The sequence below is a fragment of the Homo sapiens genome, chromosome 2, assembly GCF_000001405.40.
Source record: "Homo sapiens chromosome 2, GRCh38.p14 Primary Assembly".
In the NCBI taxonomy this organism is placed as follows: Eukaryota; Metazoa; Chordata; class Mammalia; order Primates; family Hominidae; genus Homo; species Homo sapiens.
The window spans coordinates 204,571,012-204,598,570 of record NC_000002.12 but is presented as its reverse complement, the minus strand read 5'-3'; the positions used below and the strand labels follow the sequence as shown (position 1 = coordinate 204,598,570).

General features: G+C 39.3%; 1 protein-coding gene and 1 long non-coding RNA gene across 6 annotated transcripts in view; both read right to left on the bottom strand.

Moving 5' to 3' along the window:
* Positions 1–27,559, bottom strand: part of PARD3B (par-3 family cell polarity regulator beta) — a 1,074,688-nt gene that overhangs the window by 1,021,592 nt on the left and 25,537 nt on the right. The gene's annotated exons all lie outside the window — the stretch shown is intronic.
* Positions 5,567–27,559, bottom strand: part of LOC124907967 (uncharacterized) — a 34,980-nt gene continuing 12,987 nt past the window's right edge. Inside the window, exon 2 of the long non-coding RNA XR_007088056.1 lies at positions 5,567–27,538. This is a non-coding gene — a long non-coding RNA (uncharacterized LOC124907967). The remainder of the gene's footprint in view (positions 27,539–27,559) is intronic.

The following is a 27,559-nucleotide window of genomic DNA, read 5'->3' as shown; positions in this document are numbered from 1 at the left end:
TCTTTTATAAATATTAATTCATTTAATCCCCATAATGGCCCTATCATATAGGCACTATAATTATCCCCATATTACAGATGAGGAAATCGAGGCTATAGGCTAAATATCCTGCCCAAAGTTACACAGCCAGTAGGAGAAACAGCTGGGACTTGAACCCAGATAAACTACCCCTGTAGTCTTGAGTTCTAAAGGATATGTACAACAGCACATAAATAACAGTTATCTCTGATAGTGGGATTATGAGTAGAATTATACTCTTAATTTTGCCAGGTTATATTTTCTAATTTTCCAACTTGAACATGTATTATTCTTAAAAGAATAAAGTTTGCTTTTTTTAAATTCACAAATAAAAGAACTACCCAGGAAACAGGTAAGATAGAAAAGGTAAAGTCCAAATAATCTACGTAGAGATGACAGTTGCAACTTCAGGATGGAAACAAAGGAGTAAATGAGACAAAAGCAGAAGGTCACAATCTGAGTTTAACTTTTAATTTGATAGTCTTAACTGGTCAATATCAAATTCCCCTCTAGAAAGCTATTCATTTGGAGCTATGTTTCCAAAATGCTCTTACACATAACAATAATTCTATGGGACATTAATAGATGTGCTACATAGGAAGGCACCATAATCATTAAACACTGGACTAAACAAAGGTACAGTGATTTCTTTGATGCAGGATATATTTACATATTCAGTGACTCTTCCAGAGACAAATATTTCCTAAATTATCTTTCCATAAAACATGTTTCCAAAGATCTCTTCATAATACCAAGGGTCTATAAAGGCATCCTCTGCAAAAAGCTGACTTGGAGTATTTCCATTCATTCACTCATTCATTCAATTACCAAGTGCCTATAATGTACCAGGCTCTACTCTGGACAGCAACACATGCTAATAACAGAAGACTTGAGTTCTGGTCCCAGCTCACTATTGACTGGCCCACTTAAGAGCATTTACTTAAGAGTAAAAAAGGGTCAACATCACCTGCTCCCCAGCCCTTCTGAGATGTTCAAGAACTGAAATAAGTTTGCAAAGCACATTCACACATGTTAGCAGTAGAATATTATGCAAACAATTGCCTTTTCTCCATATTCTAGGCTACATTGACACTTAAACTGGCTTCCTGTAGTTCCCATCACATTACCTGGACAGGCAAGAAAATTTAAAAAGCATTTTCAGGGGCACTCTCAGCAGTAAACACAAAGCATCCACACCTGGAGACTTTTTAAGTGTCCATATTTATTAGTGAGGATTTGTGAGAATTTCTCATTTATCCTATGGGCATCATTAAGATCGCTACCAAAAAAAAAACACGCATCGGCTCCTGCCACATAAGAAAAATTCATCCATTCGCAGAAATGACTTGTGGAAGCATTACACAGAACAATGGAATACAAAGTCCTCATCAAAGATCATGGGCACCGCAAAAATCAAGCCAATGAGTTAGACAAGCTAATTTCCCATACCCAATTCTGCAGCCAGCTTGATTCCTTAAAAGCCTGAAATTGCTGCCTTTACACAATTTAGAGACCACAAATACGAATGTTCCATGCAGTTATTTTTCTTAGGTTTATCTTACATGAAAAATTATATATAATATATATATAGAGAGAGAGAGAGAGAGACAGATAGAGAGAGAGAGAGAGAGAGAGTGAGTGAGTTTCTCTCTTGTTGCCCAGGCTGGAGTGCAATGGTGCCATCTCACCTCACAGCAACCTCTGCCTCCCGGGTTCAAGCAATTCTCCTGCTTCAGCCTCCTGAGTAAATGCATGTGCCACCACACCCAGCTAATTTTGTATTTTTAGTAGAGACGGGGTTTCTCCATGTTGGTCAGGCTGGTCTGGAACTCCCAACCTCAGGCGATCCACCTGCCTCGGCCTCCCAAAGTGCTGGGATTACAGGCATGAGCCACCGCGCCTGGCCAAGTTTAGCTTACATGAAAGATTATTGGGAGTGTTCTATGTTTTTGCACCTGACAAGTGTGTTTGCTTTTTCCAAACCAACACTTCATATACTTTTCTACAAGGTAAACAATCCTCTAAAGGCAGCAAAAGAAGGTCCCTCTAAGAGCAGCAGGATTCACCCTTGAACCCTGAAGTCAGGTTTCAAAAAAGGATACAAAAATTTGAAAAATAATTTTTCAGTATGGCTCCACTATTACACAGAAAGCCCTGCTCCAAGACTTCCAGCATCTCCCAAAAGAAAAACAAATAGGAACAAAATAGGAAAAAAATATGAAAGAAAAACAATGAAGCCACATTGATCAGTGGTTAATGATTTGAAGAGCTGGATGATGGATACTTGTGGGGTAAGGAAGGCTCATAATCTATTCTATTTGTATGAGTTTGAAATTTTTCACAAAAAGTTTGTTCAAAGCAAAAAAGGAGGAAATCATGGTTATTAGACAATAACCTAGGACATTATATTCCTTTATCTCACGATTTCATAATTCTAAATGTAATTGTTTATGAAACTTATTCTCTATCAAAAAAAATCATCACAAGACTCATTAAAGTGCTCTATTGTTTTTACTTAATTGTCTTTACACCCAGCAGTCAGCAAGCTGCATGATAGCAGAGCACATGTTTTGCTTGCAGCATCTAGCATAGCACCTGCAAATAATCAGTTGCTCAAAAAAAGAAGTTTGCTGAATGAATGAATAAAATTCTACTTCTTTGTTTCACTGAAGAATTCAAATTGAGCCCAATAGCATAGCATGCTCTCATTTCCTTTTAAAAATAAAATTCTGAGTTTCAACTTTGACCAAGGCTCAATTTATTACAAAACGTAAAACAAAGCATGAACAAATGAAACATTTAAAGTACATGCTCATTTTATACATGCAGCTTTACAAAATCATACTTGACTTTTCTGAATTTTCATTTCCTCAGCTCCAAAGTGATAAAAAGACCTCACAAAGTGACTGTTTTTAATTGACTAACATACAGAAATGTCCCACTTCTTAATAAGCAACTAATAATGCTTGATATTCTTTGGTAAACTGTTTCTTTCTTCCCCACTCAACTTCGTCTTTCAATGCTGTCCTCATTCCTCATCACCAGCATTCTACAAACACAGACAGCAGTGTCACCAGCACTGATGGAACAGCAATAAGAAACAGGATGGAGAAGAGTCAAACCATCAACCACTGCCTGGGACACACTATTTCCTATGGTGCCCATCCTTGTCAAAGCCCTGACCAAACTCCATCTCAATTTCTAATCTCTTCAATGCTTGGCCTCATCATGAGGTCCACTGTCAATGGTTTAGACAGAGAAGTGTTTCCACTGCCCGAGTCCAGCCAGTGGGGCAAGGGGCAGTGGATGGGACAGAGGATGGAGTAGACTTTGCTCTCCTTTGGAGACCATAGAAGAAGGTGATGACTTCTTAAGCAGACATTCTGAGTGAAATTTCCTACAGAAACAAAGAAACCTTCATGGTCTAATTCAGGTACACCAAGGGTCAAACAGGATATTCTGAACTAATACAGCATCTGAGTACCCTACAAAACAACATCACACTTGCTAACAACTCAGAGAGGGTCTACTTTATAAAGTAGACCCATGATGCTAAGGAACAGACATTTCTCTAGTCAGATCACTGGAGGCATCACTGAAATTTTTGCACTTAGAAACAGCAATTGTGAAAGAAAGTGAATAAAAGCACCTGATCAAACGACTTCACAAACACCAACATAGCTGAGGCTTCCATATGTCTTTAATTCTGTGCTATTTACACTGCAGAATTTCAAGTACTTTTTAATTTCTTTGTTATACGTTATTTTCTGAATTTTTCTCCAGTGGATATGCATTACTTTTATAGTTCAGAGAATAAAATAACCACCAATAGAGGTATGAAGTGAGAAAAAAAAGAAAAATGACTTTCACTTCAGAAGCATAGTCACAGGACTCAGTGACAAAGGGAAGAAGGGGTGATTAGCAATTACGGTCAACTGCAGGTGGCAGCTGAGCACTGGGATGCCAAATAAGAATGCTGGAGTTTCATGGCATGGATACAGTCTGGCTCCACTGTTTTCTAGACGTTTGATCTTGGGCAAAATTACTTAACCCTTGCTTGCCCACCTGTTAAGATAGAGATAAAAGTACATTCCTGAATACAGCAAGTTCTCCACGCATAATCACTAGTCACCTTCTCTAAATTTCTTTCACATCCTACTTAGAGTGATGATTATCTTAATTCTTTGCTATTATTGTGAGAAAGTATGTTGGTAAACTCTGTGGAAAAGGAATAGGCATTGCCTGTTTCTCATCATGCTAACAGATGCTTTTATAGATAGATGTTATATTTACTGAAATGCACAGGAACACTCAGTAATGAGTGAAAGGGCAACACAATGCCCTTTCAGGAGTCCAGTCCTGTATCGCCTGGCACTAGCATTCGACCTCATCTCCAAGTATCAATGAAGATAACCTTGCCAACTCCTTTTACCCAGTATCTGCTTTACTGCAATTATTTAATCATAGACTCCATTTCATTTATTCAGTTCTGGACTTCTGTTTCAGGGACCGAGTGTTGATGGAACCACTGTGTGGCATCTTGGAGTGCCATAATCACTATTAATATTGGTACGTAAGACAGAGAATTTATTCAAGGAAACAGTCAAGACACAACTGTGGAACTCCTTAGTGTACATTTTCAGTAAGGTTGTTTTCACACTAAAACCCTCAGAGGTCCCCACAAAAGTCTTAGTGGATGCTGGTCGTAGTTAATAAAAAGAGGAGAAGCAAGATAAAGGCAGAGGTAGAGAGGTGTGTAAGTAGCAGGATATTTGAAGAAAAGCACAAATTCTGCAGCTGCAGGACCTGGAGTGAAGTTTGACTTTGCTGGTTAATAGAAATGATACTTCTGACTCCTGAGTTTTCTGGCAAATGAGATTTCTCCCTGTTCTACCCAGTATTTACCTAGAAAATTAAATAGAGCCAAATAAAAGTATTCATAAACTACTGAGTACTCTGCAACTATAATCATTATCAAGATAACAATCTTATTTAAGTTGCAGGATATTAGTTAGTCTTGGGAGAGCTGAGAGCCTGCAAACTATTCGAAAATTTGCCCCTTGGAAGATGGTAAATTGGTGTGGCATTACACAAAATGGGCTCAGACAACAAGTATTTACTGAATGCCAACTGCATGCTAGGCAGGGTATGGTACTGTGGAGGATATTACAAGATACTGTAGCTCATCTGCCATTGCTCCATGCGCAAGCCCCCTCCCCTACCCACCACTCTACTGCTAACCATAAGCATTTCTTCCATTCTGGAGATCCTCAATCTACGTTGAGGATGCTTAGATCCTAGAGGTCTATGGTGTTTGATTGGATTTTGTGCAAGACCTGTTATAGTAGCCCTTGACTCCACAGTTGTCTTTTGGTAGTCACCATAATCTTACATGAAACGTACATAGATGTTAACCTCTTAAAACCTAATAGAAGTCATATTGTGTACAAGATAAATATTCACTGGAAAAAACACTTAATTAACAAAAGTATAAATATAGTGGAAACAATCCAAATGTCCCCCAATAGATGAATGCATAAACAAAATGTGGCATATCCATACAATAGAATTTATTCAGCCATAAAAGGGAATAAATACTGACACATGCTACAACATGGTTGAACCTTGAAAACATTTCAACTGAAAGAAGCTAATCACAAAGGACCACATATTGATTGTACAATTCCATTTATATGAAATGTCCAGAGTGGGCAACTTCATAGGGACCAAAAGTACCAAAAGTAGACTAGTAATTGTCAAGGGCTGGTGGGAATAGGGGATAACTGGTAAGAAGAGTGGGGTTTCTTTGGGGAAGAATGTATGAGAGCATTCCAAAACTGTGTAGTGATGGATGCAAATACTCTGAGAATATAATAAAAGTCATTGATTTCTGCATTTTTTAATGGGTGAATTGTTTAGGATGTGAATTATACACCAATAAAGCTGTTATAAAAATTAGCTGGGCATAAAATCATTTTAAAAAGTATAATACAAAACAAAATGTGAAAATATCAAAAATATACTATGACAATAAGTTTTACAAAGTGGTATAGCTGCCTATTTTATTTAAGCCTATTTTCATCTTTGGATGTTTTAGAAAACACAATTGTTATTAAAACAACAGAATTTCATGGTAGGCTTTCCTTTGTGCTTTTCTATAAACAATACATAAAAAGTACCTCTTGTTACCAAAATAATCTCTTTACATAGGGGTTAAATAAGCTCACATGTGCTCTTTTTCGTCCACTAGGTCATAAGACTACTGTAGTTTCCTCATTCTATGGATTTCCATGGAAAATGACAGCCACCTTACTACTCAGAGCTAACAATGTGAGTTTGTCTAGCATTTTGTAAAGTACTCTAGTTTCCTAAATTGATGCGGTTGGTCCCCTCAGACCTTTGGCCTCCAGCCATCTCCTACAAAGGTCACTGAGGGGTCACCAGTTTTCCCCTTGCCCTCCGGGCAGGTCTGCATTGCAACCATACCTAAATGATAGCTGTCCACCTTGACTTCCATTTCAGATTACAAAAGTGTTAGTATTGGTAGAAAAATGACATTCAAATTATCCATTATTCTACCTTATGAAATACATATATTTAAAAGACAACTTTAGCACACTAAAAAGTTAAGGAAACATACAGTAATTCTGCATTATGTCTTCATAAGACACATTATCTATAAATCCATCATTTTAAATTCATCGTGTACAACAGCACTCCAAGAAATTATTAATGGAGCAACTAAAAAATATGTAAAAGTTCGTAAAAATTTATCTAAATCCTCCCTGCTTCTAAAAGATATTACTACTCCAACGCAGTTATAAAATTAAAATTCAGGCGAATTATTTTTATAACTTGTCTGTCCTTCCCCAGTCTGACACTTGTACATACCATTTGCTTATGAACCTTAGCCCCTGGCCCCAAAGGACATTCTTCTACTATACCATTGAATTGGCAGCTATTGTTCTAATTTCCCTACTGATGAGCCAAACAGTTAATCTGTTTTAACACACAATGCATAAAAGGTTTCATTTCAGTCCAGAAAAGAGAAAGAGACACTTATAATCACTGGGCATTCATATTTGAATGACAGCTAAACATAAAGGAACATCAGGCATGCAGCCATCTGGAAAAAAGCTGGTATTCTTTCGTATTATCTGTTCTCAAACCTTTAAGACAAAAGGGTCAGAGGTTGGCCAAAGACTTCCATTTAGTAAGATGCTCATTTCAAATCCATGGCCATTAATAAACATTCTGTCAGCCCCACAATAAAAGACAATCAGCTCCTCTCTCCTTCCATTTGGTGCATTCTGAAAGATGGCTTCATAATAAACATATACATGCACACTTAGAATTATTTTATTTACAAGGATAAATTGTGTGTGCCTGTTTAGAAGTAATACTTTCTAGTTCCAGATGAAAAAGAAACATAGTTTGCTGGGTATTAATACACAGTAATTGCAACATTCATTTTAATACAAAAGACAAAGTAGGCAATCAACCTGTGCTTATTATTAAAATTGCAATTTTTCTCATTTTAAGTTATTGAACCCCAACTGGAGATACTAAATTTATTACAAAATGCTAATGAAAATTACAATACAGAAAAAGTCTCACTGCCTATCTTTAAAACAAAACCCTATCTATGTTGTATATACAACTTGAAAACACCTTTTGATTCTTGTTATTATCACTCCATACTCAGGGTTTTTAGCAAAGAATGGTGATTCAGTCCTAAAAAGTGAAGGTCAGATATTTTGACTAATTCTTTCAACACACACATGCAGATGAACAGAGACTTCAACACTTTATTTAAAAGCCTGAGTCCTAGTCCTTCTAAAGTAAGTTCTGCTAACTAAAGGCTACATTTTCCTGGAGACAGTCCCTTTCCTTCTGGCTGCAAGCAATGTCTTCTCTCTTGCTGCTGAAACAGACACAAGACAAAGAGGTCCTTCTCATATGTTCCCAGCTCCTTTCTCCCCATCCCAGCCATTAAAGTCAGAATCTCACTTGCCATATGCCCAGAAGAGAGTGGAGTAAGGGTTCTTAATGACTGGTCATGGGCTTTAACACCCACATCAACAATAAAGGAGAGTATGCATAAAGACAGGTCCATTTGCACAGCATTCTTGCCAACGTTTCTTTGCACATCCTTTACAATCACTGTTACAAACTGCGCATCTGTGTTTCCCCAGAATTCATATGTTGAAATCAAATCCCAAATGGGATGTATTAGGAGGCAGGGCGTTGGGAAGGTAATTAAGTCATAAGGATGGGGCCCTCATAATGGAATTAGTGCCCTTATAAAAGAGACAGGAGAGAGCTACCTTCCTCATTGTCTGCTCTCCACCCTGTGAGGACAGAGAGATGATGGCTATCTGCAAACCTGGAAGCAAGCCCTCACCAGACCCTGGGTCTGCCCCCACCTTGATCTTAAGCTTTTCAGCCTTCAGAATTGTGATAATAATGGCATATTTGTTATAGCAGTCAGAACAGACTAATACAATCACCCTCTAAGCAGAAACCCATTATCCTTCCCATTTCATATGTGGGAAATATCAAGGGAGGAAGGGATTTGCTTGATTGTAATCGATCAATGGCAGACTAGAACTCAAAGCTCTAATTCTCCAGAAGCAAGTCCCCATCTCCCATCTGCTCACTGGGCCTGGTCTTAAGTATTGAAACAAGGGACTGTGCCAAAAAGTTGATTTGCTCAAAAGCAAATTAAATTTCCATATTTCAGTGCTGAAATAAGAAACAAAATAATTCCCCTAATTTTGTCAATGGCACCAACATTGTCCTTGCCATTTGCACCAAAACTCATGGTTATCTTAGATTCAAAACCTCTTTATCGTTGCCAATTACCAAAAATCCTTTTGATTTTTTTCCTTTCTGGTCCATCCATCCAAAGCTGGACCTCTTCAGGTCAAACTTGCTCTCAGTGCCTAGAACCTCATGCAATAGCTATATTTGGTCTTCTAGAACCTTGTGCAACAGCTATATTTGGTCTTCTAGATTTAACTGTTTTCACATTGCTAGGCATTCTAAGCAAGTGAAATAGATAAAAGTTCTGCCTTCGTTTAGTCAACCAGTGCTCGAAAGTCCATACTGGCTCCCAGTAACTTCAATGTCAAGTTCAAAATCGGCACAGTGACATTTGAGGCCTGTTAGTGACTTTGTCCTATTTGATTTATCCCATCTTATTACTACCAGCCTCAAACATGAATACTGTTCCATCAGATCAGTCTCCTTGCAAATCATTTGCTCCAATATCTATTTGCCAAGGCTCAACACTGTCCCCTCCCTTCCCATGACCATTTTCTAGTAGTTGTTTTATATGCTTTGCCACCTAATCACAGATCTCTTATGTTCTGTCCTAACTATGCCATGTGAGCATGTGCCATAATTCCAGGTATATACAGCTCCTTGAGGGAGACAGTACTGTCCTAAGCCTCCACCAGTCTACCTTCCGTGGGTGTCCCTTAAGCACACTGGTGAGGCATCTATAAAAATATTTATCGGGTCTTAACATCAAAATTTTTATCACATCTGTCAATTTTTTTTTAATGTGGCATCCTGAAGAGCTTGAGAAAGAAAGAAAACCAAGGCCATAGCCACCTTGAAACCACATTTTAGGAGGGATGTTGAGGAAAAGAGGATTTGTAGATTGAAGTACAGATGCCTAGCCCTCTCTGTACTCTACAAAACTAAGCCTAGAGACTTCTGCATTGAACGGGAACTGATGTAGATAATTTCCAATGTTAATGCTATGATTCTAATAAAAAGATTTCTGCAGTGACTACTCTTCATTTGGATAAAGTGGGGAATACATTTTTCTGAAAATTTGAATATTTTTAAAGTAAACATGGGAATCTCCATTAAGTGCAGTATTCCAAACATTAAAAGAAAAAGAAAAGCACCTTTCATTGAACTATTGTAGGATAAGATTTTAGAATAAAGATTAGGAACAATTACACAAAGAAAGTGAAATTACCAAATACAATGATGTAGTGCCTTGGAAAACTGTAAAAGAAACCAAAAGCCCAATGGAAATATTTGCATATCAAAGTGGGGGGAATAGTTTCTGTAGGAAGCAAGGTAAAAATCCAGCATTAAATGATGGTAAGCTCCTTCCCAAAGATGAGCTCTTATGATTCAGTCCTTGAATTAAATACGCAGGTTACCTGCTTCTCCAGGAGTTTCAGCATCTTCAATATTAAAAAGCACTGTTTTATTACAGGCCACCTTTATCTCATTACATGTACAATAAATAGGTTCCTATAACTCCATGATATTGTTTAGCTTGTTCTGCATAAAAGAATCTTAAATCTGACATGACCAAGAGAATGCAAGTCCAAGTCACGGAAGCCAGTCTGCACATCAACATCAGAAACAAATGGTTTGTGTTCTAAAGTCAGATACCATGACTTGTTATGGTGTATTCATTTTCCTACTGGAATACCACAATTCTAATGCACGCCCTCCCTCACGGTATTACAAAAGGGGGATGTATTAGCCCATTCTCATGCTGCTAATAAAGACACACCCAAGACTGGGTCATTTATAAATGAAAGAGGTTTAATTGACTCACAGTTCAGCACGGCTGGGGAGGCCTTCTTCACATGGTGGCAACAAGAAGTCCAGAGCAAAGTGGGAGGAAAACCCCTTATTAAACCATCAGATCTCATAAGAACCCATTCACTATCACAAAAACAGCATAGAGGTAACTACCGCCATGATTCAATTACCTCCCACTGGGTCCCTCCCATGACATGTGGGGATTATGGGAACTATAGTTCAGGATGAGATTTGGGTGGGGACACAGCCAAATCATATCAGGGGATGAGCAAATAAAAAACCAATCAAGATGGTACAGAGCCTGCTCTTCTCCCTTGGAGCAAAGGGAAAACAATTGGCTTATTTGAGCTGAATGAACTTAATTTCAGTAATTCGAGATTTTACAAAGTGAATTTAGAATCAGTGAGGTAGCTTTCTTTGCTTTCAATCTGAAATATAAAAACCTACTTCTTGTATTTAAATGTCCTCATAAAGCAATGCAAATATCTTCATATTTCGATTATAGAAGAGCTCCAAAGTGAAAGTGACTACCAACAATTCCATTTATCCGTGGACAATTCATTGCCTACAATGAATAAAATCCCGCTGAAAGTAATTAAAGTAGATGGGAAATAGAAAATTGAATTTTTTTAAAGATTCCCTCACAGTTTTAAATAATGCAGCAATCTGAGCTGAATTAACCACCATAAAATAGTTCTTTATCTTTCTTACGTCCTGTAAAAGATAAGATTTATCCTACAAATATCCCTCTGATAATGAGCATTCTGGCTTGTCTGTATAAGTCATATCTTCTCTGTCTCACTGGCATATCCTCTATAGTCCCATTGGCAAACCTCCTGGCATTTAAAAAAAAATACATGCATACACACAATTTTACAGGACATGAAGAGTCACTAACTTCCTAAAACTGAATGTTTCCACTCCATTTTTACATTGCATTTATACAGTCTGAAGGATCTGGTTTTGTGCCATTATCTAGCATTCCACTATTCCACAAGAAGAAATCATTAGATTTTTCTGGACGGCAATGTTTCTGAGAGGAATAGACCACAGAAGTAAAATAATCATTCGAACATGCCATGTTCAGCAGGTTTAGTCATAAGCATTTTTAAAAATTAGGTAATGGTACAAAATGTTTAAAGTTTGAAATTTATATTTCATATTTACTATTAATATTTCACGTACTATGTTAAAATATAGGATCTCCCAAATAGTAAAAACAGCCCAATTAACTAAAGGATAATAGGTGTACCACAAGCTGTGTCTCTGCCAAACCATCCTTGTGGGTATGTTGGAAAGTAGTAGATTTATGGAAGTCATAAATTCGAGACCTACATGTTCTTTCTGATTGTGAAAGCTATCATTAACCGCAGATTAAGTCTGAAGGAAAATAAAGTCAGAACACATTACCGGGACCCATGGTTGGCAATTTAAGCAAAAGGCTAGAAATTAGAAACCAGTTCTAACCCTGCCTCCACAACTCCCTTGCTGGTAGCCTTCGGCAACATTTAATCTCTTAGTGTTTAAGTAGCTACATCCTCAAAACAGGGGCAAGCATTACTCTTTAATTACTCTCACAGCCGTTCAGTGACATATGTTAAAATAGACATAGGTCTTCAGATTCTGATCTACAGTAATACTAAACACTGATACTGGTGTCAGGGTAGGAACATGCTGTTGAAAACACCGTCTACACTTTCAATATCACTAGCTGGAATCCCTTTGCTATCTCAATTAATTAAAAGAGTGTCAGGTATGCATTTATGATGGAATTAATCAGAATGCCATTAGAAAGAAAATATGGTACCATATTTATTTTAATAAAGCTCCCTTTATGACATCAGACTCATTAGCCAAGTCTAAAGAATGCTGAGCTCTACAGGGGAGCTACTGTTATAACAGCAGGCTGGCAAGGCTCAGCTCCACTGGGTGCAAAGCACTTGGCCCATCAGGCAGAACAAATAAAATGCAGTGTACTATAATTCCATTTTTCTTTAAAAATGCTTTTAAATGATATAGTAAAGTAAGATCTGTCATCTCATATGCATGCATAGGATCATCTGGCTTTAGGCAATATATCTAGGAAGTAACTAGTCTTCAAAGGAACAAATGTTTAAGATTTAGCACAGATAAGATTACAATGCGTATTTTTAAAACTATATATATTTTAAGTATAAAAAATGTAAAAATGTAAACATGTTGAATGGGAGAGAGGTGAATCGTCACAGAAAGAAGGTATTAATGAAAATGTGCAGACGTATATTATAGCAACCTAGAAGCCTATCAATCACACCACTTATGAAAAGGAATATAAGAAATTATCTGCCCATTAGACTGGTGTGGTGTCTCATGCCTGTAATCCCAGCACTTTGGGAGGCCAAGGAAGGAAAATCACTTGAGGCCAGGAGTTTGGGACCAGCCAGGACAATATAGCTGAACCCTGTCTCCACAAAAAATTAAAAAAAAAAAAAAAAAGAGCCAGGCATGGTGGCATCCACCTGTAGTCCCAGCTACTTAGGAGGCTGAGATGGGAAGATCACTTCAGGCCCAGGAGTTCGAGGTTACAGTGAGCTATGATTGCACCACTGCACTCCAGCCTGGGCAACAGAGCAAGATCTGAAGAAAAGAAAGAAAAAGAAGAAAGAAAGAGAAACAGTGTCCAAATGGAGTTCTGCTCTAATCACAAGACCTCAGTACATTAGAAAGACCACAGGGCTAGTTACTGCTGGGTTGTTTTCAGGTCTGCTGCCTCCATTGTCCTGAAGGAAACCACACTTCCCAACTGGTCTGGGCCAATAGGAAGCATTGGTGGAAGACAAGAAAACAAGAGGGAAGAGGGAGAAGCAAGGGTATCCACCCAACACATGCACTTCAGGTGGCATCTCTAGCCCCCTCTAGAGTCTTGGCTCCCATCAGACACAGTCTTCCACTACCATCTTGGTCCTAGCTCCCTCCAAGGTTGCTCCAGTCTCTGGGATCCAGAAACACCACCTGCTCCCATCATTTCTCCAACCCTACGGATGATGCAGTTGCTTCCTGCTGTTGCTGGTCTCTGAGTTCCTCACCATTTGGAGTTTGCCTTTTCAACTCTTGCATCACCTGTGTCGACAATGCCCTGTCTTAAATTCCCTTTGTTTGGAAGGCCCAGTGGTTTCTGGGCCCTGAGCTAAGAGTCAGAAGACCTTTCTTTATTCAATCCGGTCTCCACTATTAAACCACGTGGCCTTGGAAAAATTCACAATCTTGCTAGTCCTGAATCTTCTCATCTATAAAATGAGGGACTGGAGAGCTTTTAAAACCCCAATGTCCACATCATATCCCATAGAATTTAAATAAGAATGTCTAGGAGTAGAAGCCAGACATCATTATGTTTTTAAAATTATTACCCAGATGGCCCTTTTGTGCAGCAAAGTTTGGGGACCACTGCACTAGAATGTAAGAACGTATGCTTGTGTATTCTTACATTTTCTAGAATGTTCTAAAATAGTAGGTATAGGGTAGTAAAGGATGCATTTTTCAGAAATGAGCTTATTTTTAGTTCTAGTATGTTTTTACTAGCTATACTCTTAGCTGTTACTAGCTATCTTCAATTATACTCTTTACTTATATAAGCAATATATACACTTAACCCATATAATGCATTATACTCAATGTCTAAATATTCAATTACCGCAAAAATTCCCAGTAGCTAGACTGTCAAGTCATACCATAAATACCTTGAGGAAAAGACCTGATCCAAGGTCTGGCCCTATTGCCCCATCTCCATCCCCATCACATTGGAGTCTCCTGCTACCTCTCCTTTCAGTTATTTGAATCCCATTTCTCTCCTCTGCCCACTAAGATTGGTAAATTCATCTCCTCTGAGCACAAACCACCTCACCCTTGCATCTAATTCTGTGAACTACAAATTCCTGGCTCCAGCCTTGCCTGGCTTCACAGGCTGCATGCCCCCAACTTCAGTCTCCCTGGCAACGTCACCAACCACTCCCAGCCCAGCCTACCAGTGAGGTCACCAGGAACTTGGGCAAGCAGGCCCTCACTGGCAGCAGCAAGCTGCAGTGGGAGAAAATTAGCCCTGAAAATGTGTGCACCAAGATCTGAACAAGGTCAAATGATGTGATAAGTTTGCATGGTTGCTTCTCAAACAGAGGTTTGATCAATACACGAAAAGAATATTTTCACATCACAAAATAATGACACTACAAGTTTGATTCTGTGGGTCTGTAGTGGGCCAGGAATCTCTTTATGTAATAACCCGAGGGGATTCTCACGCAGGTGGTCCTCAGACACCTCACACATTAGTAAATGTCACAGGTATACACTCTGTTGCTTTTTTTTTTTTTTTTTTTTTTATACTTTAAGTTTTAGGGTACATGTGCACATTGTGCAGGTTAGTTACATATGTATACATGTGCCATGCTGGTGCGCTGCACCCACTAACTCGTCATCTAGCATTAGGTATATCTCCCAATGCTACCCCTCCCCCCTCCCCCCACCCCACCACAGTCCCCACAGTGTGATATTCCCCTTCCTGTGACCATGTGATCTCATTGTTCAATTCCCACCTATGAGTGAGAATATGCGGTGTTTGGTTTTTTGTTCTTGAGATAGTTTACTGAGAATGATGGTTTCCAATTTCATCCATGTCCCTACAAAGGACATGAACTCATCATTTTTTATGGCTGCATAGTATTCCATGGTGTATATGTGCCACATTTTCTTAATCCAGTCTATCATTGTTGGACATTTGGGTTGGTTCCAAGTCTTTGCTATTGTGAATAATGCCGCAATAAACATACGTGTGCATGTGTCTTTATAGCAGCATGATTTATAGTCATTTGGGTATATACCCAGTAATGGGATGGCTGGGTCAAATGGTATTTCTAGTTCTAGATCCCTGAGGAATCGCCACACTGACTTCCACAATGGTTGAACTAGTTTACAGTCCCACCAACAGTGTAAAAGTGTTCCTATTTCTCCACATCCTCTCCAGCACCTGTTGTTTCAAAAAGTGGGCGAAGGACATGAACAGACACTTCTCAAAAGAAGACATTTATGCAGCCAAAAAATACATGAAAAAATGCTCATCATCACTGGCCATCAGAGAAATGCAAATCAAAACCACTATGAGATACCATCTCACACCAGTTAGAATGGCAATCATTAAAAAGTCACTCTGTTGCTTTTAATGAAGCAAATGACATCTACACAAACATGAAGATACCCTGTTAAATGTTTCTCTCAAGCTGTATAGAAAACCTCCCTTCTAACCAACTACAGGCATGAACTTAGCTGGTTGAGGGACTGAAAGGACAGAGTGGGAGAAATGCAAGGAGGGGAGCTCCTCCCTAATCCAACCCTGACTCAACATCTCAGTAGCATACATTAATCTACAAAACCCACCCGTGCTGTGGAAGAGAAACCTAAGAAGTTGGGTGTCACTCTTTTAATAGTGTGAAATGAGGGGGGGGAACCTCAATCTATTTTCACTCAAACTTGTTTCCCTTCTTTCTTGATAGTCAAGAAAAAACTAATCCCAAGAAAGAAATCAAAGAACTAAACTTTTATCTTTCCTTAAGAAAAATAAATGACAGTGCCAGGCAAATTCTCTCATTCTACATGGAAAACACACTTTTCCAGCTGTGCACACACACAAACTGACAGATCAACTGCAAAGGCAGTCCTACACTTTGCAAGATGTAACTAGGTAGACATGAATTTATGAAAATTAAACTTTGGAGTCACTAAAGATAAGGGCAAGAAGAAACCTTAGAAATTATCTCATTGAGTGGGCTGTACGTTTAAGCAACCTATGCAGAGCTCTGGGAGTTCTCAGAGGTGCCTCATACCTTGGGAACATTCGAGAAGAACAGAGGCTGCAGGCTGTCACTGCTACTTCCCCAGGACATGACATGAAAGGGCAAAAAGGCAACGTTCACCAAGCTCCTTCTGCATGCCAAACCATTAATACACATCACAGTATTTAAAAGTCACGGCAACCTTATACTGTGCTTTAAACCCACTTACAAATTGGGGAAAAGTCTCAAAGGGGTTAAAATAACTTTACCCAAGGTCACATTGTTGGGAAGCAGCAGAGTAGGACTGGAACTTGGGTGGGTCCAACCCCACATTAGTTCTCTGGTCAAGAACTTTGTAGGATGCAATCATCCCACCTGGATTCAAATTTAGTCTCCACCTTACTAGCTGTGTAACCTTGAGCAAGATAACTAACATTTTTGTGCCTTAGCTTTTGCATCCTGAAAACAGGTAGCAATTTCATGGAGTTTTTTGAGGATTTAGGGATATCAAGCCCTGGTATGGTATATATGGTCAACCCACATAAAGGTGGCTGGCAAACAGTAAATGCTCAAGACATGGACCAAGAGACCCTGGCACTTCTGCCATTCCTCCCCCACCACACCTAGTTTCTGTTTTCTGCTCTTCTCTGTCAGAATTCTTTTTATACCCCCACAACACTGTTCCTTTCTCCAGTGAGTTTTTAAAAAAATAAAAAAAAAATCCATATAACCATTCAAGTTTAACATTTTTAGTTACAGAGTAATTACAAAGCATTTATCAGTTCATAACAAGAACACGGCAAGGCTTTAATGACTATGGAATAAAAAAGAAAGAAGGTAGAAAAAGAATAAAGAATTTACTTACAAATGCAACTCAGCATCTAAAACCCCTTTTAGGAGAATTAGATGACCTCAGAGAGAACAGACCTGTGTTAGAGCAGAGCATACAGTCTTATAACTGCAGTGCTCAGAGAACTAACAAGAAGCAATTTTCTGTTCCTCCAAACCTGTCTCCTAATTAAATTAATCAGTTTAAAATGGGTTAGACTTCTTGTGCTTCATGCCTGTAATAGTCTATGGTTTGAAAAACGTAGTGTGATACATCTATTGGCTTGTATTTCATTAGAATTAGGGATTCATAACTATAATATCCCATCTGGTAGTTAGCAAAGGAAATAAAGCTTTTCAAAGCAGAATAACGAGTCTGCATAAATTTGAAATTCTGCTGATAGAAATGTCACCTGTGTTCCAGATGAGTACTGTAATTTAAAAATATACTTTAACAAAAGATATGTTTGCTTCCAAATTTATGATTCTACTCCCCCAACTCCTTTCCAAGGAAGGGATTAATTGTATGTGTCACGCAGATTGTTATTAGAGAGATTGACAAGATCACAGTCTCTCTTATAGAGCCCTTCCAAATCCCAATCAATCAATTCTGCCATATTCAATGAATTAATGAGGTCATACGTGGACAATACTTATATAGCACATTTTTAAGAAGGCGGGGACTCCAAAATGACACCTAGGGAGAAGGTGCACCTCAAACCCAAGGTGATACCCAGCCTAAGAAAATGCTCCCTCGCCCAGGTGGAGTTATTTGTATATCTGCTGTGTATTTTCCAGTACAACACTTTCCATATCTCACGTGCTTCTAGCTACCTCCATAACAAGTGATAGGATCGGCTAGGGTCAGATGACAGAAAAATGAGGCAAGAATGCAAAGCTGAAGAAACTTATCAGTATCAGAAAAAGGTGGTGAAGCTCCAGTGTGACCCTGGGCATGAGTGACGAAGAAGAGAGAGGAGCTCCCAGAAAGAAGGCCTGGGTTTCCCAGGAGACTCACTCTGGATAAGAGGGAAAAAAAACATGGATGCAAAGGGCAGGGAGGGTATCAGTCCAGGACGGAGGATGGAACAAGAGAGAGAAAGTACCCCTAGAAATAAAGGCTGCCTCCCACTCTTTCCCCTCTCTCTTTAGAAGGAAGCTCTCTACTTCTGTCTCTTTACTTTTCACATCCACAGCTATACTTACTGGTTCCCATGTTTGTGCTCTCCTCCAGAGTCTAGACTATGGGTCCCCCTGGGTCAAGGACTGGCTTCTATAAACGCATGATGAATGAACGAACAAGGAAGGGATGGAAATGAATTCTTTTTGAACAGTAGGTCAAATTACACACATCACTGTAACAATGTAGCTTCAAAGAAGAGTCATTCAAGGAAACACAACTGCCAACAACTTTCTGATACATTATTAACTTGCTACTTTCCTAACCAAACCCTAGCCTTCAATTGTCTTCACAGGGTAGGATGGGGGAAAAGAAGGTATAAAATCTAAGTCAGAGATGAGTGTATGGTAATCTAAGCTATTGTAGCCAAGCAAGGAAAACTACTTCCCCATCCCCCACACAGGGGTCCACCCTGGGTAGAGGGGAGGAATGAGCTTGTTGTTCCATGTTCACAACTAATCTGAAAAGCCAAAGATTCCAGATTGCCTTGACCCTGACTCTCCATTGGAGGAAAGCTTTGTGGCATAATTACCATTTGTTTACTCTCTAGTTACACTGTCATACTTAAATGTGCAAATTAATCAAATCATACCTCTCCAATTTTCCAGGTCACAACATTTCTAAGAATTCCTACGAGACTGAGTAGAACAGAGCCAGTTTCCTTAGATGAAGCCCCAACTTACTTCTTTTTAAAGAGCTGTGCCAAAGGCATTGTTCCCAGGGTTGTGTTCATCCAGTCACAGCACGGCTCTGCTGACATCATTCCTCGCGCTCCCTGGGAACCACCAAGAATGAACCAGAAGGGACTGCTGCTCGAGGGGCACAAGAGTACTGTCAGGAGGGACCGGACCCTGGCCTTACTAGACCCTGGATTTCCTGTCTGTAACAGCTATAATAATACCAACCCCATGAGATTGCTGCAAGGATTAAATGAGTGTATCTTAAAACCTCTAGAGTGTGCCTTCCCAGAGCAGTACTCACAAAATGGCGGCCATGATTATGATTATTACTGTTGTTGTGATGATGATGATGATGATGATGATGATGATGATTTCCTTTCATATCCCCGCCCCCAGCCTGCCCTAAAGTGGCCACACTTTTGCCTAAGCTGGTTCTCAACCGGGACAACTCAAGTTTCTCCTAAAACGAGATCCAGTTCAAAGACCACACGCTTCCTGACAACTCTCCCTCTCCTGGTTCCCCTCAGTACACAGGAGGAATCATCTCTTCCATACTCCCATCATCCCAAGTCTACAGCTTGACTGTGATATTTTCCTGCCCTATTAGCTGAATGACTCTCATCTTCCCAGATTATGACCTCTCTCACGGAATAAACATCCCAAAACTTCCCATAGTAGAGTGCATAGTTCAAGATTTTAACCGTGATCTCCGGAAACATCCACAAACAGCAACGTATCAGGACAAAGGTGACACTTTTAACTGCTCAGGGGAATAGGCCGGACTTCAAAGACACCATTTGAATTTTTATCACCTGTGTAGTTCTTAAGGTTTTGCATCATTGGAGATGGGGATGATAAATCAGGCACCCAAATATTACATCATTATAATAAACTAGTTTACATCTTTCTCATGAGACAAGAATTACTCATGCTCTTACCTCTTCAGTAAGTACATTACCTGCTGTGTTCTGAATTCTGGCAAGAGCCACCTTTTATGAAGTCACTCTTGTACAACACACACAAAAAATATATATATACAAAGAAGTATTCACCACACCGATGCCCATAGACACACACTCCATATAATACCTCAAGCCCAGCTATATTCCAGAAGATGAAAGGTCCTTAAGTTTGGAATTTGTGATCCTGTGAGTCCACGCAAGCAGAGTTTTTAAAATAACTAATCCAGTCATGGATGAAGAGTCTCAAAGCCAAGACGCTCCCTATGTAAGTTTAGTATCAGCTCTACCCTGCTTCCTTGTTACTCTTCAGCCTAAAAAAATATCTTGCAGAACTGTACACTAAAGTATTGATTCCTCTTAGAGAAAAAGGCATCATGCAAAACACTCTAAAAACAGGGTTTCTCAGCCTCTGTACTACCGACATTTGGGCTGACACTTCTTTGCTGTGGGTAGTGCTGTCCACTACGTTGTAAGATGTTTAGCGGCATCCTTGGCCTCACTCTAACAGATGCCAAAAGTACCTTCTCACTTGCTGTGATAACCAAAATTGTCTCTAGACATTGCACAATGTCCTAGGGGACAAAGCCACCCCCAACGAGGGCCACTGATCTAAATAAAGTATCACTCTTTACAAACCATCATTTAAAAGTGAGAAAACTGGCTGGGCACAGTGGCTGATGTCTATAATCCCAGCATTTTGGGAGGCCAAGGTGGGAGGACTGCTTGAGGCCAGGAGTTTGAGACCAGCATGAGAAACATAAAGAAAAGAAAAAAAAACAATTTTTAAAATTAGCCAGGTGTGGTGGCACATGCTGTAGTCCCAGCTCCTTAGGAGGCTGAAGTGAGAATATCCTTTGAACCCAGGTGTTCAAGGTTACGGTGAGCTATGATCCCACCATTGCACTCCAGCTTGAGTGACAAAGCAAGACCTTGTCTCTAAAAAAATTAAAACCAAATAAAAGTGAGAAAACCCTTTAAAAACCGGGGCAATGTAGCTCTAAGAGAAAGTACTGAAGCAGAAGACCCAGTTCAAATCCCCATTTTATTCCAAGGGAATTGTGCAACATGAGCCAGACAGGCTGGGCTTGGAACCGGGCTCTGCCGATTGCCAGCTGGGTGACCATGGGCTAGGTACTAAACCTCTAAGACTCAGTTTACCCACCTACAAAATAATAATGATAATAGTAAATGTTTCCTGGAATTGTTGTGAGGATTAAATAGATTAACATATGCAAAGTGTTTAGAAAGTGCCTGGCACATATTAAGCACACATTAAACACTAGGTATTCCTATCATCATATCATTTAACTTTCTATGCCCAAGGTTCCTCATCTGCCATGTAGTATGAATAGTGCCACACAATATTATAAATATTTGTTAGCTCTAGCCTGCAGTACAAAGATATGTAAATAAGTTATTTTGATTTCTCTGGTAGAGTTAAAAACAATACACTCTGATCAATTTACGAAACCCAACTATCCCATCCCCCCCCAAGAAAAATAATTTTTTTCAAGTTTTATTTCAAATTCAAACACTATCATGGTAGAATTATGAAGTCAATGCCCTAGCTTAGTGCAAGAGAAAAATATCCATTAAAAACACGGCACGGTTTCTGATTGTGCAGTGGATTCACAGTAATTGCTCAGTATATGTTATTATGGTTGTATTCCATATTGTTGTTATGATCCATGACAAATGATTACAACCCTCTCATGAGTGTGCCTGAAAGACACCATAAGGGGAAGCAGATGAGAACTTGTAGATGACTCAAACACTCGCCACCACCCCTGGGAAACCAAATGTGTGGGAGTGGGTAGAAACTAGACATGTTTATTGTGGAAAAGTCTCACTGGTGATTCCATTATATAATATAACCACACTCAAGCATGTATATTCATTTACATGCGTGCACACACACACATCCTGCTGTCAGGTTGAGAACCACCGGCCTATTGCATCAGCATTAGAGGAGTTATTTTATTGTTAATTGAAAAAAAGAGCACACACACATGCATGCTGTCATCATGTTGAGAACCACCAGATAGAAGAGTTATCATTTTTAACTGGAAAAAAAACTTTGCCGCAACAATGTATGGGTATTCATTGATTTACAAAACAGATACTGCCATAAGAAAAGTAAACTTAGATCCAACTCCCCTTCTTTTGCTGGTGATTACAGAGACACATTCAAATGTACCTTGTGTCCCAGGGTACTTGCGCACAAACTTCTAGTGTAGCAAGGTTAGGGTGGCCTGTCTTCAAAAATAGCAGCACCCCAGCCTGCTGGCCAGAGGCAGTTCTCTTTAGGGCACCCTCAAGCTACTGTGTAACTTTAAAAAGAGTCAAATATCCAAATCAAATATTCAAAAATCAGACCAAAGGCTAGATGATGTCAAGGCAGAGAGAGCTATTTATTGCAAGGTTCTAGTTGCTACTTCAGTAACTCTAAAATAAGGGAGATTAGGGGGAAGTGGGTCCCCAGAAGGAAGAGATAAGAGGTTTGTAACCTGAAAACCTTACAATACAGAGATACGATATTAGACTAACAGTCAATTAACATGGCAGGACCTACAAGCCATGTATCAAGGCTCCCCATAGCAAGGGCAAGAACCGCCTGAGCAACCAAATCACAGGACAGGACTAACAGATTTGGAACTCCACAGGGGCTTATATCTAAGGGGACAGTGAAGACTGATTCTACTGAACAAAGCACAGGAATCATCCAAGACCACAAAAGCTGAACTCACCAGGTAAATAAAGTGTTAAATCAACCAAGCACACCTATCCTCAACCTCTAACAGTGTATTACAGTGCTGACTCCAGTCAGCTCCAGCTGTCTCAGCACTGGTGAGCCCCACAGCCAGAGAGAGCCAGGAGGAGAACAGGCAGGGGCCTGCATCTCTAGCAGAGATGACACCACACGCAAGTACCACATCATCCAAAAGCATTTCCAGCCTAAGTCCATTCTATACAAAAGGGAAGAGAAAATGCCAGTTCAGCTGTATCAACGAATGGAAGAGGAAAACGAGAACTGCTTTCTTAGCATCAAGGGGTTTCAGAGGGTCAATAATTTACATATTGCTATGAATTAAAAGAAGCCTACATATCATATTTTCTGAACTATTTAAATAATTCTTAGGTTCTTTATAACTTGAGTTTTCATGGGAGTGGCTTAATGTCTAAATTTTTAAAAGCAAGATGCAATTAATATTTTAAAGGTTCACTCCAACCATTAAATGAATGCCTTTAAAACCAAAAGCAAATTCATTTCAAGTACAGCATTAGGAGACACACAGCAATGAATGTTTGTTTGCATAAATTTAGAAATTATGCATGTTTAACAATATACAGATTGTAATGAAACCATGTATATTACTGTCTTAGGTTAAGTTATATTTGGTAGACAACTCAAAACCAAGACAGTTCTTACTAAATTGCTGAGTCTTCTTGTAGCTAATGACTGCTGCTTGCTATGACAGCCAGAAAAAAAAACATCAGCAAAGTAATTATAATGAATCAATAAAAAACCCATAACTAAAGCAGAGTCATCTGAAGAGTAGAGAACTGGAACTTGGAAGAACAACTTATTAAATAAAAAACAATTAACTAAGGAAATTTAGTAAAGCGTATGCTGTTAATTTATACATTCATGTATCTACTCACAAACCTGAGTAGAAACTATGTGTTGGGCCCCATGTAGCTACTGGGAAGAGATACCATAGCTGGACCTGCTCAAAGTCTGCTTGAGAAACACAGACATGATACAGAAGACACACTTAGATTGTTAGTGTGTGTCCAGCACCATATAAGCAGTTCAGAAATGTGACCTCATTTAGCGTTCCACAGCAACCCTGCAACGCCATCTTACAGATAAGAACAGAAGCACAGTGACTGTAAGTTGCCTAAGATCATACAACTAGTATATGGCAGAGCTTGTACTTCAATCTAGAAAATCTTGCTCAAGAGCCCACACAAATGACAAACACGCTATGCTGCCTGTCCATACTGAGATGTCTCCCTTAGACCATCGTGTAAAAATCAAGAATCTATAACCTCTCACAGATGTTAAGTATCTACATAATAGAAGAACATTCAAATTGCCCAAAGGAGGGGAAAGTCATTCTGTCAAAACCAGAGAGCTAAAAATATAAAATACATGTATCCAAACAAAATTTATTATGAATAAAGTATGAGATCACTGCTAGTTGGGATTCATTTAAAAAAGAAAACTTTGTCATAATTTCTTTTAGAAGGAGATAGAACATAAATGATAATAAAGTTAGGAAATTAATAGATTGTTTTGTTTCTAATCAACAGCTACTATTGCAATGAAGCATCTTTCTGATATCATGGTTCTTAAACAGCTCCAACTTGGCAGCTGTACACAATAACTAAACAAACAACAACCTCTGAGAACAAAGTAGCAGTCTTGAGCTCCCACACCCACCGAGGGAAAAGCCCAGAAGAAAGGCCACAAATAGGAAGATGCTCTGACAGTGAGTGACTGGTCAAGTCAAGCAAAACAAATGCCTACCTAGCTGGCCAACCTCTTGCAGTGGCTGCTAAGACATACTTGGAGACGCTATAAGACAGTAGAGGAATAAAGAGGAGTAAAGAAAGTAGTTAACCCTGGGCTCAGCAGGTGCCATCAGTGTCTGAAAGGGCCTGGGGATGAGCCACAGTGACAGAGGTGATGCCCAAGAGCAGAAACTAAGCAGGAGTGCTGAGCTGTAGACTCTGACAAAAGAAAACAGTCTTTGCTGGTAAAATGAAAGGAGAAGAGCAAGGCAGAAGGACAAACAGTGATGTGTATTTCAATGCCTTAGTACCCAAGGGCATCGGGGACACTCTGATGGTATACCAATCACAACGAGGAGAAACCATGGAACTTACTCACCCTACAGAGCAGAATCTGTCGCTTATTACTTACCACAAACAAAAACCTGTATTAGCTGGGCATGTGGCAGGGAAGTTGTATGGACACATCCACAAAAAAAGGACAAGTAACCATCTCTCTCCTGGTGCTGCTGACTGATATGGGAGGGTCATCTAACCTCTTTAAGTCTCAATGACATCACTGCTAAGTCAGGAGAGAATGACAGCCCCTCCACCCCACTACCAGCTGCAGAGCCTATAGGCATCAGATGAGGTCACGCATACATACTGGTGTTCAGTAATGCTCCATGAATTTTACATATTATCATCACCATCACCACTACCATATTGCTATGGTTATCTTGCCCACAAATCTGCTTACATTCTAGTGGAAAAGATATCAAGAGTGAAAACTAGTTATGAGAAGGACAGTATAGAGACTGCAGAGTATAGAGACCTGGGTCAATTTCAGAGTGCCTCTTACATTTCACTCCAGCATCACACTTGAGATACAGCCGGACTCAGGGTGGCAAGAGAAGAGCAGATGGATTGAATGGTATAGCCACCAGCCAAGTTGAGCTGTCCTCAGTCACCTATGTTGACACACAGTCTCTGTGGCTTTAGCTAACAGATCACATTTGAGTCAATAATTTAAGATAGCAGAGAAGTCAAGTTTCATCTCTTCCAGGAGGCCTTCTGAAATCCCAATTTCCCAAGAAGAGAGTGGTCATTTCCAAAGCAGCCTCTCTGAGACATGGTGCTTTATAAGTGATGTGCACCATCAGACAGAATTATAGCTTCCTACAAGAGGGTAGGAACTACATAGTATCTTTATTGTATTTCCATTGGCTGGCAAAGTTTCTGACACGTTTGCCAGCCAATGAATGCTGGCTACATAAATGAATAGTTAGCTTTCTGATTTTTATTTACAAAATTTACACAGCTGTCTAGAGTATTTACCTACTAAGCTCAGTTCCTTAAAGGACCAAACAACTAAGATATTGTCAGGAAAAAAATACACAGCTTCTGTATTTATAGAAATATTTCTGATAAATAACTAGACATCTCTTTTAATTGGCTTATGATGCAAAGTCCTAAAATATAGGTTAAAAAGCCCCATTCCCTGTAACTAGTGGTCAGATTTATCATCATGAACAGCAATTAATATGCTAGGTGGAAGGAGAACAAAGGTTGAGGGAGCTACTGGTGTAGGGAGAGGGCTGCTTCCTTCCAGGCTATGGAGCCCCTCCAGCCTGGTTCTTTCCTCCCCCACTTTTCTGCAATAATGTCTGCTACTCTGCCCCTCATTCCCACTACATGTACCCTCCCCTCCTTTTCCTCCTCCTTCAAGCTTCTCTTTTTATCCCCTCTTGTCTCTGGCTCCCAAAGAAACTAGATGTGGAGGCCAGGCACCCCATATCTTAGAAAGCTTTCATCTCAGAAATCATCTCCAGTCAAGAAAAGTGTTCTTTTCTATCTGGCCAGAAAACTAACAAAGTACTTTGTTCTCTATGTAACTGACCACTGTCACTTCTGAACTCTTCAGTTTACTTTCCCTTTCTCCCTTCCCCAATTGCAAGGCACTATTCTAGATCCGCAAAGTTACTCAAAGACTGATCTTGGGGAGAAAATGATATTTCCTTTCAGTATAGAGAAAAAAAGTTACACGGTTATGAATCCACTCCTACCATTTTTTCTGTAGCAGTTCACTGTGATTGACCTTTTAAGTCACATTTACATGTAGCCACGGCAATAATAATTACACACACACATTATTTAATTAAGGACAGTAATATAAGATCATAGACTTACATCTTTATTAATTTCTGTTACAATATTTCAAAGTTCACAATAATTTGGTCTGAACTAAAGTTTATGCTCTAACTTCTCATTCACTCATCTACTACTGTATTAAGTCCCTAATACACATAGTGCTATTTAAGGCATTATAATGGATTAAAACCAAAAAGCAAACAACAAAACAAAGCAAAATGCTTTCAAGGAGGTTACAATCTAATTAGGGAGACGAGATATAGGTATCTCAGAAAAATTCATTTTCCGTATAAATTAAAAATGCAAACAAAATTTCAAGGGCTTAACCCTACTTATGGGAAGGGAATTATTATGAGAAACTTAGAGCTCAGAAATTGTTTGCATGGACATACACACAGTTAATTACAAATGAGTTATCTATTCATCATACTTCATCATAATAGGCCCCTAAAAGACCACTCCTTGGCAGCATGTAAAAGTTATTAGTACTTAGAAATGTGTACTTGAAAGTAATAAATAAGACACTAGAAAACACTCTTATGGCTGGGGATGAGCTTTAGAGATAAGCTACTCTATGCCTGAGGTCTTGAGAGTTCAAGGGCCTTGCCCACGGTTTCAGAGCTAGTTCATATTCATAGAAGAGTCAGGGCTATCCCCAGGGCCAGATGCCAAGTTCAGTGTTTTTCCCAAAACCCCACATGGATCTATTTCACCTTCTTTGCCAGCCAATGCAAGTTAGTGGATTTTCTACTCTAAATATTGCCTGAAGTAGTAGAAATAAAGTATCCAGAAATCAGAACTAACAGCAGCCGGATTTACACACCTCAGTTATAACAGCTTATACACCTCAGTTACAACAGCTTATAC